Genomic DNA, 18,495 nt, shown 5'->3' on the forward strand with positions numbered 1-18,495 from the left:
ATGGCCTTTTGTGACTGGCTTCCTTCAGTGACCATAATATTTTTAAGGTTTATCCATGTTATAACATGTATTGGTGCTTCATTTCTTTTCATTGTCTAATAATATTTAATTGTATGGATATACCACATTTTCCCTATTAATCAAGTGATGAACCTTTGTTTCTATTTTTTAGCTATTATGAATACTGCTGCTATGAATATTTGCGTACAAGTTTTTGTGTGGATATATGTTTTTATTTCTCTTAGGAAGTGCTTAGCCTTATGTTAATTACATTTAACATTTTAAGTAATTGCCAGACTGTTTTCCAAAGCAGCTGAACCATATTATATTCCCATTAGCATTGTATACGGGTTGCAATTTTTCTACATCCTCTCCAGTACTTGTTATTGTATATAATCTTTTTGATTATAGCTATTTTAGTGGATGTGAGGTGGTATCTCGCTGTGGTTTTGATTAGCATTTCCCTAACAACTAACAATGTTAAGTATCTATTCACGTGCTTATTGGCCATTTGTATAACTTGGTAAATATGTCCACTCATATCCTTTCTGTCCATATTTTAGTTAGGTAATTTGTCTTTTCATTGTTGAGTTGTAAGAATTCTTTAAATATATTCTGGATACCATTCTCTTATCAGATATATGACTTGCAAATATTTTCTCCTATTCTGCATGTTATCTGTTCACATTCTTGATGGTGTCATTCGACACACAAAAGTTCTTAGTTTTGGTAAAGTCCAATTTATCATTGATATATTTTATCACATTTGCCTTTAGTGTTGTATCTAAGAAATCACTCCTTAAACTTTATTAGAAAATTTCAGCAAGAATATATTTACTTTCAAAATGATCTTTTTGTACTGATTCATAGCTTTTTCATGGAAATTGCTTTTACTCCATAAATACCATATATTTCTATATCATTATAAGGATACCAATTACAGATTTTTATTTTTAAAGCACTGGATCTTGAATTATAATTCTTCTTGGGTCAATTGTTTAATTAATTTATCTTGGTTTTTTTCTTTCATGCTACTGATTTCTTTTTTGTGTCTTGTGATCTTTGGCTCTCTACAGGCATACCACAGAGGTATTGCAGGTTCAGTTCCAGACCACTGCAATAAAGTGAATATTACAATAAAGAGAGTCACACAAATTATTTGGTTTCTCAGTACATATAAGAGTTATGTTTACACTATACCATAGTCTATTAAGTATGCAACAGCATTATGTCTAAAAGAACAATGTATATACCTTAATTCAAAATACTTTATTGCTAAAAATGATAACGATCATCTGAGCCTTCAGTGAGTCATAATCTTTTTGCTGATAGAGGGTCTTGCCTTGATATGGATGGTGCTGACTGATCAAGGTGGTGATTACTAGAAGGCTGGGATGGCTGTGGCAATTTCTTAAAATAAAACAACAGGGATGTTTGCCACATTAAGTGATTCTTCCTTTCATGGAAGACTTCTCTGTAGCATTCAATGCTGTTTGATGGCATTATACCCACAGTAGAAACTCTTTCAAAATTGGAGTCAATCCTGTCAAACTCTGCCACTGTTTTATCAACTAAGTTTATGTAATATTCTAAATCCTTTTGTATCATTTCAACACTGTTCAGAGAATCTTCATCAGGAGTAGATTCCATCTCAAGAAACCTTTTTATTTGCTCATTTATGAGCAACTCATCATCCATTCACATTCTATCATGAGATTGCAACAATCGAGTCACATTTTCAGGCTACACTTCTAATTCCAGTCTTCTTGCTATGCCCACTACATCTGCAGTTACTTACTCCACTGAAGTCTTGAATCCCTCAAAGTCATCCACAAGGGCTAGAGTCCACTTCTTCCAAACTCCTGTTAATAATGCTATTTCATCTAGCATTAGGTGCAGCACACCAGCATGGCACATGTATACGTATGTAACTAACCTGCACAATGTGCACAGGTACCCTAAAACTTAAAGTATAATAATAAAAAATAAATAAATAAATAAATAAATTTAAAAAAATAATGCTATTTCAACCTTTTCCCATGAATCACAAATGTTCATAATGGCATCTGGAATGGTGAGTCTTTTCCAGAAGGTTTTCAGTTAACCTTGCCCAGATCCATCAGAGAAAGAATCACTATCTATGGCAGCTATGGCCTTATAAAATGTACTTCTCAAATAATGTATTTCTTAAATAATAAGACTTGAAAGTCAACATGACTCCTTGATCTCTAGGCTGCAGAATGGAGGGTGAGTTAGCAGGCTTAAAAAATTAATTTCTTTTGTACATTTCCATCAGAGCTCTTGGGTGACCAGGCACATTGTCAATGAGCAGTAATATTTTGAAAGGAATCTTTTTTTCCTGAGCAGTAGGTCTCAGTAGTGGGTGTAAACTATTCAGTAAACCATGCTGTAAACAGATATGCTGTTATCCAGGCTGTATTGTTCCATTTATAGAGTACAGGTGGAGCAGATTTAACATAATTCATAGAGACCCTACGATTTTCAGAGTTTCAGATTTCCAAGAGAAGGATGTCTCATCCATATTGAAAATCGGTTGTTTAGTCACTTTCATTAATTATCTAAGTTGCATCTTCTGTAGAGCACTGGCTGCTTTCCCTTGTACTTTTTATGTTATGGATATAGTTTATTTCCTTAAACTTCATAAACAAACCTCTGCTAGCTTCCAACTTTCCTTCTGTAGCTTCCTCACCTCTCTCAGCCTTTATAGAATTGAAGAGAGTTAGGGTCTTGTCCTGGATTAGGATTTGGCTTAGGGAATATTGTGGCTGGTTTGATCTTCTATCTAGATCACTACAACCTTCTCCATAGCTGCAATAAGGCTGTTTCACTTTCTTATCATTCTTGTGTTCACTAAAGTAGCACTTTTAATTTCCTTCAAGAACTTTACCTTTACATTCACACCTTGGCTAACTGTTTGGCACAAGAAGCCTAGCATTCAGCCTGTCATGGCTTTCAACATGCCTTCCTCATTAAGCTTAATCGTATTGAGCTTCTGCCTTAAAGTGAGAGACATGTAAGTCTTTCACTTGAGCACTCAGAGGCCATTGTAGTGTTATTTATTGGTGTAATTTTAATATTGTTGCATCTCAGGGAATAGAAAAGCCTGAGAACAGGGAGAGAGATGCGAGAATGGCTGGTGGGTGGAGCAGACAGAACACACATTTGTTGATTAAGTTTGCCATCTTATAGTTCATGGAGCTCCAAAATAATTACAATAGCAGCATCAAAGATCATTGATTACAGATCACCATAATAGATATAATAATAATGAAAAAACGTGAAATGTTGCAAGAATTACCAAAATGTGACACAGACACATGAAGTGAGGTACTACAAACCTTCAATTTATAAAAAATTCAATATATGTGAAGCGCAATAAATATGAGGTTTGCCTGTACTCATTTTTAAAAATTAGGGACTAAGTAGATTTGTCAAGGTAGAGGTATAGGTTTTTCTCTGTTATTGGATATATAATTTTTTTAGATAAATCTCCTTTTGACTAGGATTTCTATTTTGTAGGCAGAGCTTGTTGAACAATATGAGACAAGAAAAACCATAATGAAAAGAAAATTCTAAGACAATAAAAACATCTTTTAGGACACACACAAGAAAAGCACTAGATTAAGATAAAATTGTCATTACATAGATGATGCATAAAAGTTTACAAAAGAAAAACAAGAAACTGATATAACTCTAAATAGTAATTCTCATGCCTTTAGATAAAACTGATGATTAAGAATAGCCAGTTCCCAAATAAGGAAATGAAAACAATAAAATAGGCACTTTATTAAGTAATTCCCATTTTCCAGGCCACAGGCTGATCCCTGAAGATACTAAATACGAACATGAAGATTCTATCTCTGTCTTCATAGAGTTCATATCCTAACTGGAAAGACAGTCCTGTTTAGTTCTGTAACTACCTCAATAAAAAAGCTTACCCAGCAATCCCACCTATGGGTATGTATCCAAAATAGAGGAAGTCAGTATATCAAAAATATTATGCACACCTCAATGTTTATTTCAGCAATATTCACAATAGTCAAGATATGGAATCAACCTGTGTCCATTAAAGGATGAATGGATAAAGAAAATGTAGTATATATACACATGGAATACTATTCAGCCATAAAAAGAGTGAAATTCTGTCATTTTCAGCAACACGGATGGAACTGGAAGACATTATATTAAGTGAAACAAGCCAGGCACAAAAAGACAAATATTGTATGTTCTCATGCACATGTAGGAGCAAATGAAAAAGTGGACCTCACGGAGGTAGAGAATTGGTGGTAACCAGAGGCTAGGAAGGGAAGGAGAGAGGGAGGATAAAGAGAGGTTGGTTAATGGGTACAAAAACACAGTTAGATAGAAGGAATAAGTTCTAGTGTTCAATAGCACAGTAGTGTGACAATAGTTAACAGTGGCTTATTGTATATTCCAAATAGTGAGAAGAGATTTGGAATGTTCCCAACACAAAGAAATAATTTAAAAATTGTCATAAATATGTACAACAAATACGTACGATTTTTATGTATCAATAAAATTTTTTAAAAACTTAGACATTGGTATAGTTTCATAAAACTGAAGTTAGTCATGATTTATAAAATCAACATAAGCCATTCAAATCATTATTTATACAATGCTTTTCAATGCTTCATAATTACAATTATGCATACTGTTTTTACGTTAGATGACCTTAAAATCAGTTGTTGAATAAGACAGATACTACTCATTCAACAAGCATTTATAACACACTTACTATGTTCCTAGATTCTGAAGATATAGAATGAATAAAACAAATGGGGTCCTGACCCTACTCTGTGGTTTATCATGGCTGGCAGATATATAAACAAATGTTATCATCAATTTGATAAGTGCTATAGCAGAAAAATACAGTGCCATGCAAGGACAGAGGAGGCCCTAAGAAACCCTGCCTCAACATGTCAGAGAAGATCTAGAGAAAGGAGAAAAACAAGAGGAGAGGCTGGTATTCTTAACAAAATGAAACAAAATAAAAAGATGTAAAGGTATAAAAGAGTAGGGTATCTTCCAAAATTTACATTAAAAATTTACTGTACTTTGATGTAGTTAGATGTAATTAGAGGGCAAGGGGGTATCACTGCTTATTAGCTGCAAATTTAGGCAGGCGCAGACCCTAAACGTCATGAGTGCATCTGAAAGGGTTTGGATTTCAAGCAGAAGTGACTTGACCAGATGTTGCATTAAAAAAAAAAAAAAAAAAAGAAGAAGAAAAAAAACTATTCTGTAATCCTAGCACTTTGGGAGGCCGAGACGGGTGGATTACCTGAGGTCAGGAGCTCAACACCAGCCTGACCAACATGGCGAAACCCCATCTCTACTGAAAATACAAAAATTAGCCAGGCATGGTGGCACACACCTGTAATCCCAGCTACTCGGGAGGTTGAGGCAGGAGAATTGCTTGAACCCAGGAGATGGAGGTTGCAGTGAGCCGAGATCATGCCACTGCACTCCAGCCTGGCTGACAGAGTGAGACTCTGTGTTTAAAAAACAACAATAAAAAATAACTACTCAGGAATCTATATGGAAAGATTATTAGAGTTTGAGGCTAGCTAGATACCAAGAAATCACTTAGAATTAAAAACAGTAAGGTTGAAAATAAAATAAGGTTTAAAATAAAAATGAAAAGAAAATGGGATATGAGGGATAATAAGAAATCAGAAATTACAGTACTTAATAACGAATTGAGTGTGTGAACAAAGGAAAAGACTGATCTAAAACGGCTTCCATGTCTGGGTCTCAGGCAAAATGGTTATTGCATTACTAACCAAATTTGGGGGATAAGAGGAAACATAAGAATTTGGTTGTGTTACTAACCAAATTTGGGGGATAAGAGGAAACATAAGGATTTGAAAATGCTGAGTTATTTTCATAGTTAACAGAATTCAAGTTAAAACAACCATGCAACATGATCTTGCATTAATTAAAATAGGGTAAATTAATAAAATTGACAACATTTATTGCTATAGATATTAGGGAAAAAGATATACTAATACATTGCTGCCCTGAAACCTGATGAAATTGTTCTGAAAAAAATTTGGCAACAAATATAAAAGCCATAAAAATGATCATATACTTTGACCAAGAAACCCTACTTTTTGGAATATAGCCCAAGGATGTAATTCAAAAGAAATAAATAACCGATTTGTATAAAAATGTTTATAGCTGTGCTATGTATTACAAGCAAAATTTGGAAACAGTCCAATGCCCAACAGTGAGGGAATGCTTAGGCAGACTTTGGTGCACTAATGCAATGGTATATTTTATTGCTATTAAGAATGACAATATGAGAACTATGTAGAAATAAGGAAAGGGTCATGTGAAGCAATGAGTAAAAAATGCAGCACTCAAAATGATGCATATACAATGATCACAACTATGTAAAATTATATCTGTATAACCAGGAGGATTAGAAAGGAATACAGAGCTGGTAATTTAGAGTGCTGACATTTTTGTTATTGTTAGTTCAAGTTGCTGGGGATGTTTATGTGTTTCTAGTTATATTTCACTGTATATTTAGTACATACACATTAAGAGAGATAAATCTCTATTTTTTTTTTCTGACACATAAAAGAAAAATTCCTGATCAGTATCTTTCCTTGCCTTGCGTGATTTTTAAAAATGATTGTCAGATTCAGTCAAAACTAAATAGGAAAAGTGGTAGCAATTCTCTAGAATATCTGCTAATAGGCCTATTAAGACCTTTAATCTACCAGTATTTGTAGTGTTTTGCAACTTTTTAACCCAGCTTTGCTGGCCAAGATTTTGTAAAGCTTCACTTTCTACAAGAGGACACTGGTATAGAGTAATTTTTTTTTGTTTTAAAAAATATAAAATGATGCTATAAGATGCATAATATTAATTGTGGTTTTTCAAACAATGTTTCCTTTCCAACCCATCCTAGAGATTGTGATATACCTTCCCCATCCCACCACCCCCTGTTGACTATGGAAGGCCTAGAAAGATGAGAAAGATGGAGAATCTCTGTCTTAGAGTGGGTGAAGCCACTATGGAAAGAGTCCCTCCTTTTTTCTTAAGACCAAAATAAATAAATAAATAAATAAATAACCAAGAGAAATGCAAATACATTAATTCATTAAATGAACAATGTCATAAGAAAAGCTAAATAATCTGACCTACCCATCTAGGAGGGCGATGACATTCTTCCTCGGCCGCCCAATATTAGGGCCATATAAGCTGGCTCTGGAATAAATCCGGATGGGCTGCAACAGGCTCTTCAGCTGGATGTAATCCTTTCCCAACTGGCTGCCATTTACTGCCCGGCCATGCATGGTCCGATAGTTATTTGGCTCTAGATTAAAAGCAGACATGTAAGTCAGAATGAGAAGTGTAAGGTTCTGCCAACACTTTCCTGTCCACAGATCTCTCTGCCTTTTTCTTAATAATATGAAAAAAAAAAACAATAAAAAAGTGGGTGTGAATTATTTTAACTTAAAGAACCACCCAAACAAAAAAAGGTCAAGTTAGCTTGCTGTTCCATTCATTTTCAAACTAATTTTCACAAAAAGATAACCTAATCAACACCGGAGACCATACAGATTTTCAGGTGCTACTTCATAACGAATTGTATACTGGATTGAACAGTGTCCCCCAAAATTTATGTCTACCAGAATCTCAGAATGTGAGCTCATTTGGAAACAGGATCTCTGAAGATATAATTAGTTATGATAAGGTCATACTAGATTACAGTGGGTCCTAAATCCAATGACTTCTGTCTTTATAAGAGAAAGGAGAAGGAAGTTCAGATACCCAGACACAGAGAGAAGAATGCCACGTGACAACAAAGATTGGAGAGATGTTGCTAGGCTAAGCATTGCTGGCAGCCACCGGAAGCTAGGAAAGAGGCATGGAATAGATTCTCTCTCAAAACTCCCAGAAGAAACCAATACTGTTGATGCTCTGGTTTCAGATTTCTGGCCTCCTAAAATATCAGAGAAGCAATTTTTGTTGTTTTAAGCCACGAAATTTGTGATAATTTGTTATGGCAAGCGTAGAAAACTAATACACATGGTAAGAAGTGAAATCTTCATAAAGATGTTCACTGCCAAAAAGTCAGAAAAAATATTAATATTCATTAATAACAAAGTAGCTAATTGAAGTAATTTTGAGCAAAGCCTCCTCTTTCAGCTTCCATTACCTTGGTAGTTCTAAAAGGGGAGAAAAATTCCCTGAAACGAGCAGCTCCACAGCTGGAGGAGGCTAATTTGATTTGGAATGGTGTGCATACCCCAGGAAAGGCCAACATCTCAGCTGGCTTGAGACTATGATACTGGCAGGTACAAGAAATAAACCTGTAGACTTGCAAGAAATATAATAGGAGATTTTGGGCTGAGACGATGGGGTTTTCTAGATAGACATCATGTCATCTGCAAACAGGGACAATTTGACTTCCTCTTTTCCTAATTGAATGCCCTTTATTTCCTTCTCCTGCCTGATTGCCCTGGCCAGAACTTCTAACACTATGTTGAATAGGAGTGGTGAGAGAGGGCATCTCTGTCTTGTGCCAGTTTTCAAAGGGAATGCTTCTAGTCTTTGCCCATTCAGTATGATATTGGCTGTGGGTTTGTCATAGATAGCTCTTATTATTTTGAGATATGTCCCATCAATACCTAATTTATTGAGAGTTTTTAGCATGAAGGTGGTTGAATTTTGTCAAAGGCCTTTTCTGCATCTATTGAGATAATCATGTGGTTTTTGTCTTTGGTTCTGTTTATATGCTGGATTACATTTACTGATTTTTGTATGTTGAACCAGCGTTGCATCCCAGGGATGAAGCCCACTTGATCATGGTGGATAAGCTTTTTGATGTGTTGCTGAATTCGGTTTGCCAGTATCTTATTGAGGATTTTTGCATCAATGTTCATCAGGGATATTGGTCTAAAATTCTCTTTTTTTGTCGTGTCTCTGCCAGGCTTTGGTATCAGGATGATGCTGGCCTCATAAAATGAGTTAGGGAGGATTCCCTCTTTTTCTATTGATTGGAATAATTTCAGAAGGAATGGTACCAGCTCCTCCTTGTACTGCTGGTAGAATTTGGCTGTGAATCCATCTGGTCCTGGACATTTTCTGATTGCTAAGCTCTTAAGTATTGCCTCAATTTCAGAGCCTGTTATTGGTCTGTTCAGAGATTCAACTTCTTCCTGGTTTAGTCTTGGCAGAGTGTATGTGTCAAGGAATTTACCCATTACTTCTAGATTTTCTAGTTTATTTGCGTAGAGGTGTTTATAGTATTCTCTGATGATAGTTTGTATGTCTGTGGGATCGGTGGTGATATCCCCTTTGTCATTTTTTATTGCGTCTATTTGATTCTTCTCTCTTTTCTTCTTTATTAGTCTTGCTAGCGGTCTATCAATTTTGTTGATCTTTTCAAAAAACCAGCTCCTGGATTCACTGATTTTTTGAAGGGTTTTTTGTGTCTCTATTTCCTTCAGTTCTGCTTTGATCTTAGTTATTTCTTGCCTTTTGCTAGCTTTTGAATGTGTTTGCTCTTGCTTCTCTAGTTCTTTTAATTGGGATGTTAGGGTGTCAATTTTAGATCTTTCCTGCTTTCTCTTGTGGGCATTTAGTGCTATAAATTTCCCTCTACACACTGCTTTGAATGTGTCCCAGAGATTCTGGTATGTTGTGTCTTTGTTCTCGTTGGGTTCAAAGAACATCTTTATTTCTGCCTTCATTTCGTTATGTACCCAGTAGTCATTCAGGAGCAGGTTGTTCAGTTTCCATGTAGTTGAGCGGTTTTGAGTGAGTTTCTTAATCCTGAGTTCTAGTTTGATTGCACTGTGGTCTGAGAGACAGTTTGTTATAATTTCTGTTCTTTGACATTTGCTGAGGAGTGTTTTACTTCCAAATATGTGGTCAATTTTGGAATAGGTGTGGTGTGGTGCTGAAAAGAATGTATATTCTGTTGATTTGGGGTGCAGAGTTCTGTAGATGTCTATTAGGTCCACTTGGTGCAGAGCTGAGTTCAATTCCTGGATATCCTTGTTAACTTTCTGTCTTCGTTGATCTGTCTAATGTTGACAGTGGGTTGTTAAAGTCTCCCATTATTATTGTGTGGGAGTCTAAGTCTCTTTGTAGGTCACTAAGGACTTGCTTTATGAATCTGGGTGCTCCTGTACTGGGTGCATATATATTTAGGATAGTTAGCTCTTCTTTTTGAATTGATCCCTTTACCATTGTGTAATGGCCTTCTTTGTCTCTTTTGATCTTTGTTGATTTAAAGTCTGTTTTATCTGAGACTAGGATTGCAAACCCTCAGGACACAAAATCAATGTGCAAAAATCACAAGCATTCTTATACACCAATAACAGACAAACAGAGAGCCAAATCATGAGTGAACTCCCATTCACAATTGCTTCAAAGAGAATAAAATACCTAGGAATCCAACTTACAAGGGATGTGAAGGACCTCTTCAAGGAGAACTACAAACCACTGCTCAATGAAATAAAAGACGATACAAACAAATGGAAGAACATTCCATGCTCATGGGTAGGAAGAATGAATATCGTGAAAATGGCCATATTGCCCAAGGTCATTTATAGATTCAATACCATCCCCATCAAGCTACCAATGACTTTCTTCACAGAATTGGAAAAAATTGCTTTAAAGTTCATATGGAACCAAAAAAGAGCCCACATTGCCAAGTCAATCCTAAGCCAAAAGAACAAAGCTGGAGGCATCATGCTACCTGACTTCAAACTATACTACTAGGCTACAGTAACCAAAACAGCATGGTACTGGTACCAAAACAGAGATATAGACCAATGGAACAGAACAGAGCCCTCAGAAATAATGCTGCATATCTTCAACCATCTGATCTTTGACAAACCTGACAAAAACAAGGAATGGGGAAAGGATTCCCTATTTAATAAATGGTGCTGGGAAAACTGGCTAGCCTTATGTAGAAAGCTGAAACTGAATCCCTTCCTTACACCTTATACAAAAATTAATTCAAGATGGATTAAAGACTTAAATGTTAGACCTAAAACCATAAAAACCCTAGAAGAAAACCTAGGCAATACCATTCAGGACATAGGCATGGTCAAGGACTTCATGTCTAAAACACCAAAAGCAATGGCAACAAAAGCCAAAATTGACAAATGGGATCTAATTAAACTAAAGAGCTTCTGCACAGCAACAGAAACCACCATCAGAGTGAACAGGCAACCTACAAAATGGGAGAAAATTTTTGCAACCTACTCATCTGACAAAGGGCTAATATCCAGAATCTACAATGAACTCAAACAAATTTGCAAGAAAAAAACAACCCCATCAAAAAGTGGGCAAAGGATATGAACAGATACTTCTCAAAAGAAGACATTTATGCAGCCAAAAAACACATGAAAAAATGCTCACCATCACTGGCCATCAGAGAAATGCAAATCAAAATCACAATGAGATACCATCTCTCACCAGTTAGAATGGCAATCATTAAAAATCAGGAAACAACAGGTGCTGGAGAGGATGTGGAGAAATAGGAACACTTTTACACCATTGGTGGGACTGTAAACTAGTTCAACCATTGTGGAAGTTGGTGTGGCAATTCCTCAGGGATCTAGAACTAGAAACACCATTTGACCCAGCCATCCCATTACTGGGTATATACCCAAAGCATTATAAATCATGCTGCTATAAAGACACATGCACACGTATGTTTATTGTGGCACTATTCACAATAGCAAAGACTTGGAACCCACCCAAATGTCCAACAATGATAGAGTGGATTAAGAAAATGTGGCACATATACACCATGGAATACTATGCAGCCATAAAAAATGATGAGTTCATGTCCTTTGTAGGGACATGGATGAAGCTGGAAACCATCATTCTCAGTAAACTATGACAAGGACAAAAAACCAAATGCCGCATGTTCTCACTCACAGGTGGGAACTGAACAATGAGAACACATGGACACAGGAAGGGGAACATCACACACCAGGGACTGTTGTGGGGCAGGGGGAGGGGGGAGGGATAGCATTAGGAGATATACCTAATGCTAAATGACGAGTTAATGGGTGCAGCACACCAACATGGCATATGTATACATATGTAAAAAACCTGCACGTTGTGCACATGTATTCTAAAACTTAAAGTATAATAATAATAATAATAATAATAATAATAATAATAAAAGAAATATAATAGGAAAATTTGGGGAATAAGGCAGCCACAGTGAACCTTGACAATCTCACACATACTCCCTGTAATCTAGAAGGCTAAATATGCTTAGGAGGGACTACAGGATAGAAGTGTGGATAGTAGGAGGATTCCTAGCTATCCACACATTTCCAGATAAGTGTGAAACCTAGGACACTTATAAAGGAAACATCAGAAGCCATGACTGAGAGTAAAATCCCAGTTAGACTTGTAAAAGACCTAAATTTTTAATGTGTTTCCCAACCAACACAGAGATGCACTGGCAAAAGGTGGAAGGCTTACTGGCTCACGGGAATTAAGCAAAACCTCTGATCAATCTTCAGCTCACCATTAAGCTATGTTGACTCAAGTGCAACCCCCAGGAGACTTGTCTTAACAATTAAAAAATGATTAAGAAATAAAAAAACTTAAGAGATATCAGTAGCTACACGACTCAAGGGAGACAGACTCTATAGAGTTAGTCCAAGACCTATGGTATGGAAGTACAGAATTCAGAGTTGGTCCAGTATATTATCTAAAATATGTAGTTTTCAACAAAAAAGCTATTATACATGAAAAAAATAGAAAAGTTTGACTCATACCAGCAAAAAACATAGAAACTGCCTCTATATTAGGGGCCCTAAATATTAGACTTGGCAGTCAAAGACTTATAAATATGTTCAAGAACTAAAGACAGTCTGGGCACAGTGGCTCATGCCTGTAATCCCAGCACTTTGGGAGGCCAAGGCAGATGGATCACTTGAGGTCAGGATTTTAAGACCAGCCTGGCCAACACAGTGAAACCCTGTCTCTACTAAAAATATGAAAATTAGCTGGGCATGGTGGTATGCGCCCATAGTCCCAGATACTTGGCTTGGGAAGCTGAGGCAGGAGAATTGCTTGAATCCAGGAGGCGGAGGTTGCAGTGAGCCAAGATTGCACCATTGCACTCCAGCCTAGGTGACAGAGTGAGACACTGTCTCAAAAAAACAAAAAACAACAACAACAAAAAAAAACAAACTAAAAATAATAAAGAGCTAAAGGAAAGTATAATGTTAATGATTCATCAAATAGAAATATACATAAAGAAAAAGAAATTATAAAAAACAGTCAAATAAAATTATTGAACTTAAATGACTAATCTCATACAGGAGAACACAATGAGATTAACAGCTCAGTTTTTATCAGAAAAAAATGGAGGCCAGAAGATGGTAGGATGATATATTCAAAATGCTGAAAGAAAACAAAACAAAACTGATAACCAAGAATTCCATATGCAGCAAACTATCCTTGAAAACTGCATGCAAAGTTAAACATTCTGAGAAAAACAGAGAGAAGAGATTTTGTTGTGAGCAAATATGCCTTATAAGAAATAAAAAAGGAAGTCATTCAGATTGGAATAAAATGATACCAGATGGTAACTCAAAATCACACAAAGAAATAAAAGACATAAATAAAGGTAATTACATGAATAACTGTAAAAAATATTCATTACTCTTTTCTTCTCTTAACTGATTTAAAAGACAGTGCATAAAACAAAAATACACAACTCTATTGTTGGGCTTATAAAATATAAAGATATAATATTTAGAATAATAATAGCACAAAGGACTGGGGAATGAAACTGTACTGAAGCAAGTTTCTGTATTAAACTAGAATTAAGGCCTAGGCATGGTGGCTCACAGCTGTAATCCTAGCACTTTGGGAGGCCGAGGTGGGTGGATCACCTGAGGTCAGGAGTTTGAGACCAGCCTGGCCAACATGGTGAAACCCTGTCTCTACTAAAAATACAAAAATTACCCCTGTGTGGTGCTGGGTACCTGTAATCCCAGCTACTCAGGATGTTGAGGCAGGAGAATCGCTTGAACCTGGGAGGCAGAGGTTGCAGTAAGCCAAGATCACACCATTGCACTCCAGCCTGAGTGACATAGTGAGACTCTGTCTCAAAACAAACAAACGAACAAACCTAGAATTAAGTTAGTATTACTTGAAAATAGATTGTGATGAGTTAAGATGTATTGTGATAAGAAACTACTAAGAAAATAACAAAACAGGGTGGGTGTGGTGGCTCATGCCTGTAATCCCAGCACTTTGCTAGGCTGAGGTGGGAGGATTGCTTGAGCCTAGGTGTTCAAGACCATCCTAGGCAACACAGTGAAACCCCATGTCTACGAAAAATTTTAAAAATTAGCTGGGTGTAGTGGCATGCACCTGCAGTCCCAGCTACTCAGGAGGCTAAGGTGGGAGAATCGCTTGAGTCCAAGAGGTTGAGGCTACAGTTGGCTGTAGTTGTACCACTGCACTCTAGCCTGGGCAACAGAGCAGGGCCTTGTATGAAACAAAAGAAAAGAAAAGAAAAGAAAAGAACAAAACAATGAAAACAGTACCTTAGACAATATTTCTTTTACATAAAAAGGCATGAAAAGTGAGACAGAGGAACAAAAATGCCACGAGATAAATGGAAAACAGCAAGATGGCACATGTAAAGTCAATTATATCAACAATCTCAAATAATGGAAATGGATTAAATACTCCAATTAAAAGCAGAAATTATCAGACTGAATAAAAAATAGATCCTAATATGAGACATATTTCAGATTCAAAAATACAAACAGATTGAAGGTAAAATTTTTTTTTAAAAGGTAGACTATGTAGGCTGCAGCATGGTGGCTCACACCTGTAATCTCAGCACTTTGGGAGGCCAAGATGGGTAGGTCACGCGGTCAGGAGATCAAAACCATCCTGGCTAACACAGTGAAACCCCATTTCTGCTAAAAACACAAAAAATTAGCCGGGCGTGGTGGCGGGCGCCTGTAATCCCAGCTACTTGGGAGGCTGAGGCAGGAGAATGGCGTGAACCTGATAGGTGGAGTTTGCGGTGAGCCGAGATCACGCCATTGCACTCCAGCCTGGGTGACAGAGCGAGACTCTGTCTCAAAAAATAAATAAATAAATAAATTAATTTAAAAAGGTAGACTATATAAACAGTAACCATAAGAGAGCAGAAATAACTATACTAATATCAGAAAAAATAGATTTTAAGATAAAAACATTACTAGAGATAATATGAGGCATTTTATAATGATAAAAGGCATTTTATAATGAGAAGAAAGGTCTCAACATCAGGAAGATATAACAATTAGAAACATATATATACCTAACACCACCATCAAAATACCTTAAACAAAATTGAAGAGAGAAATAGAAAATTCAAGAACAATTGAAGGAGACTTCAACACTACATTCTTAATAATAGATGAAACGACTGGATAAAAAAATCAGCAAGAATATAGAAGACTTGACTGGCACTATCAGCTAACTTTACCTAATTGCCATCTACAGAATATTCCACCCAACAACAGCAGGATACATATTCTTTTCTAGTACATAGAGAAAACATCCTTCAGGACAGATCATATTGTAAGACATAAAACAAATCTCATAAATTTAAAAGGATTAAAATCATACAATGGATGTGCTTTAATCACAATAGAATTAAACTGGAATTCAACAAAAATTGAGAAATCCCCAAATATTTGAAAATTTAACAAATAATCCATTGATCAAAGAAGAAATCACAAGGAAATAAACAAAATTAAAGTGGAATAAAAATGAAAATAAAATACATAAAAAGATATGGGATGCAGCTTAAGCAATGCTTTAGGGGGAAATTTATAGCCTTAGGTGCCTATATTAGAAATGAACAAAGATCTCAAATCAATAACCTAAGTTTCCTCCTTAAGAAAGGAAAAAAGAACGGAAAACTACACCCGAGCAAAACAAAGGAATGAAATAATAAAAATTAGAGTAGATATCAATGATATTTTTAAAATAGAGAAAATACAGGGAAAGCGAAAGTTGGTTATTTGAAAAGACCACAAAACCGATATACCTTTAGTTAGACTGACCACCGAAAAAAGAGAGAGAGAAGTCACAGATTACCAAAAGGGAACACCACTAAACAATCTCACAGTAATTAAGTTGATAAGGAACTACTATGAAAATCTTTGTGCCAATAATTTAGAAAACTTAAATAAAATGGTAAATTTTTTTAAAAAATGCAGAAATTATTAAAACTGACTAAATAAGACACAGAAAATCTATATAGACACATAACAACAACGAAAACCCATTGAGGTAGTAATTAAAAATCTTTCCACAAAGAAAGCCCAGATCCGTATGGATTAGTTGGTGAATTCTATTAAATATTTAAATAAGAAACACCAATGCTTTACAAACTCAGAAAATGGAGGAAGAGGGAACACTTTTCAACTTATGTTATGAGGCCAATATTGCCCTGACACCAAAGCCAGTCAAAGACATCACTAGAGGCTGGGTGCAGTGGCTCACGCCTATAATCCCAACACTTTGGGAGGCTGAGGCAGGTGGATCATTTGAGGTCAGAAGTTCAAGACCCACCTGGCCAACATGGTGAAACCCCGTCTCTACTAAAAATACAAAAATTAGCCAGGCATTAGAGGTGCACACCTGTAATCCCAGCTACTCAGGAGGCTGAGGCAGGAGAATCGCTTGAGTCTGGGAGGTGGAGTGAGCCGAGATTGTGCCACTGCACTCCAGTCTGGGCGACAGAGTGAGACCCTTTCTCAAAAACAACAACAACAACAACAAAACAAAGACATCACAAGAAAACTACAGACAAATATTCCTCATAACATAGATGTAAAATCCCCAACAAAATATTTACAAAGTAAGTCCAGCAACATATGAAAAGTATTATACACTATGACCAAGTGGGATTTATGCCAAGAACGCAAGGTTGATTTAATATTAAAGCCTTTTAACTAATGTAAAATACCATTGTAATAGAACAAAAGACCAAAACTAAATTATCATCTCAATAGCTGCAACAACACCACCAAAACTCATCTGACAAAATGCAACACCCATTCCTGATAAATATTCCCAACAAACTGAATAGAAGGGAACTTTCTCAACTTGATAAAGCGTATCTAAGAAAAACCTAGACCTAACATCATACTTAATGGTGAAATATGGACTGTGTGCCCCTAAGACTAAGGAGAAGACAAGGATGTCTGCTCTTGCCACTTAAGAGTCAACATTTGTACTAGAGATTCTAGCCAGTGCAGTCAGGCAAGGGAGAGAAATAAAAAGCATCCAAATTGGAAAGAAAGAAGCAAAACTGTTATTATTCTCAGACAATATGATCCTACATACAGAAAATCCTAAGGAATCCACACACAGGAGGGGAAAAAATACAAAATCTAAAGAATAAATTCAGCAAGGTTGGAGGGGATACAATATCAATTTATAAAATCAATTATATTTCTAAGTACTATTGATACACAATCCAAAAGTGAAATTATAAAAATACTTCCATTCCCAATTGCATCAAAAAGAATAGTATACTTAAGAACAAGTATTTAACAAAAGAAGTACAAAACTTATACACTGAAAACTACAAAACATTGCTGAGATAAATTAAAAATTAAATAAATGGGAGATAATCTAAGCTCGTGATAGGAAGATTTTGTATTGTTAAGATGGTAATTCTCCCTAAATTGATTTATAGATTCAATGCTATCCCATTAAAATTCCAGGAGGCTTTGATGAAGAAATTAACAAGCTAATCCCAAATTTTACATGGAAATTCAAACACCCAGGATAGCCAAATTAATTTTGAAAAACAAAGGAACAAAGTTGGAGGATTTACATTTCCAAATTCTAGCACTCTTTGTAAAGCTATTGTAATTAAGACAATGTAGTCCTAGCATAAGGAAAGACATACAGATCAGCGGAACAGAATTAAGAGTATAGAAACAAAACTATGTATGGTCAATTGATTTTTTTTTTACAAAGGTGCCAAGATAAGTAAATGGGGAAAAAATGGTCTTTTTAATAAATGGTACTGGGAATCTCTATATCCACATGCAAAAAGACTAATTTATAGCCTTACTTCACAACGTTCACAAAAATTAACTCCTAATAGATTTAGGGCCAAATGTAAGAGCTAAAACAATGAAACTTTTAGAAGAAAATATAGGAAAAAACTCCTTGTTATCTTGGATTAAGCAAAGATTATAGCACCAAAAGCATAATCCATAAAGTAAAACCTCATAAATTGAACTTTATCAAAATTCAAAGCTTTTAGACTAAAAGATGCCATCAAGTTACAAAAGACGAAGTAAAAAAATTATTTGCAAATCATATACTTGAATTTTTAAAAAAATACGTGTATCCAGAATATATAAAGAACTCTTACAATTCAATAATAAAATAACCCACTTAAAAGAGCAAAAGCTT

The 18,495-nt window shown here is 35.7% G+C and overlaps 1 protein-coding gene across 14 annotated transcripts in view; it reads right to left on the reverse strand.

Annotated features, from left to right (window-relative positions):
- Window positions 1–18,495, reverse strand: part of HPSE2 (heparanase 2 (inactive)) — an 858,875-nt gene that overhangs the window by 257,383 nt on the left and 582,997 nt on the right. For all 14 annotated transcript variants that reach the window (XM_047425614.1, NM_001166245.1, XM_011540030.2 and 11 more), the window contains one exon: window positions 7,198–7,369. In XM_047425614.1, coding sequence (XP_047281570.1) covers window positions 7,198–7,369 — 172 coding nt within the window. The remainder of the gene's footprint in view (window positions 1–7,197; window positions 7,370–18,495) is intronic.

This window comes from Homo sapiens, chromosome 10, assembly GCF_000001405.40.
Source record: "Homo sapiens chromosome 10, GRCh38.p14 Primary Assembly".
In the NCBI taxonomy this organism is placed as follows: domain Eukaryota; kingdom Metazoa; phylum Chordata; class Mammalia; order Primates; family Hominidae; genus Homo; species Homo sapiens.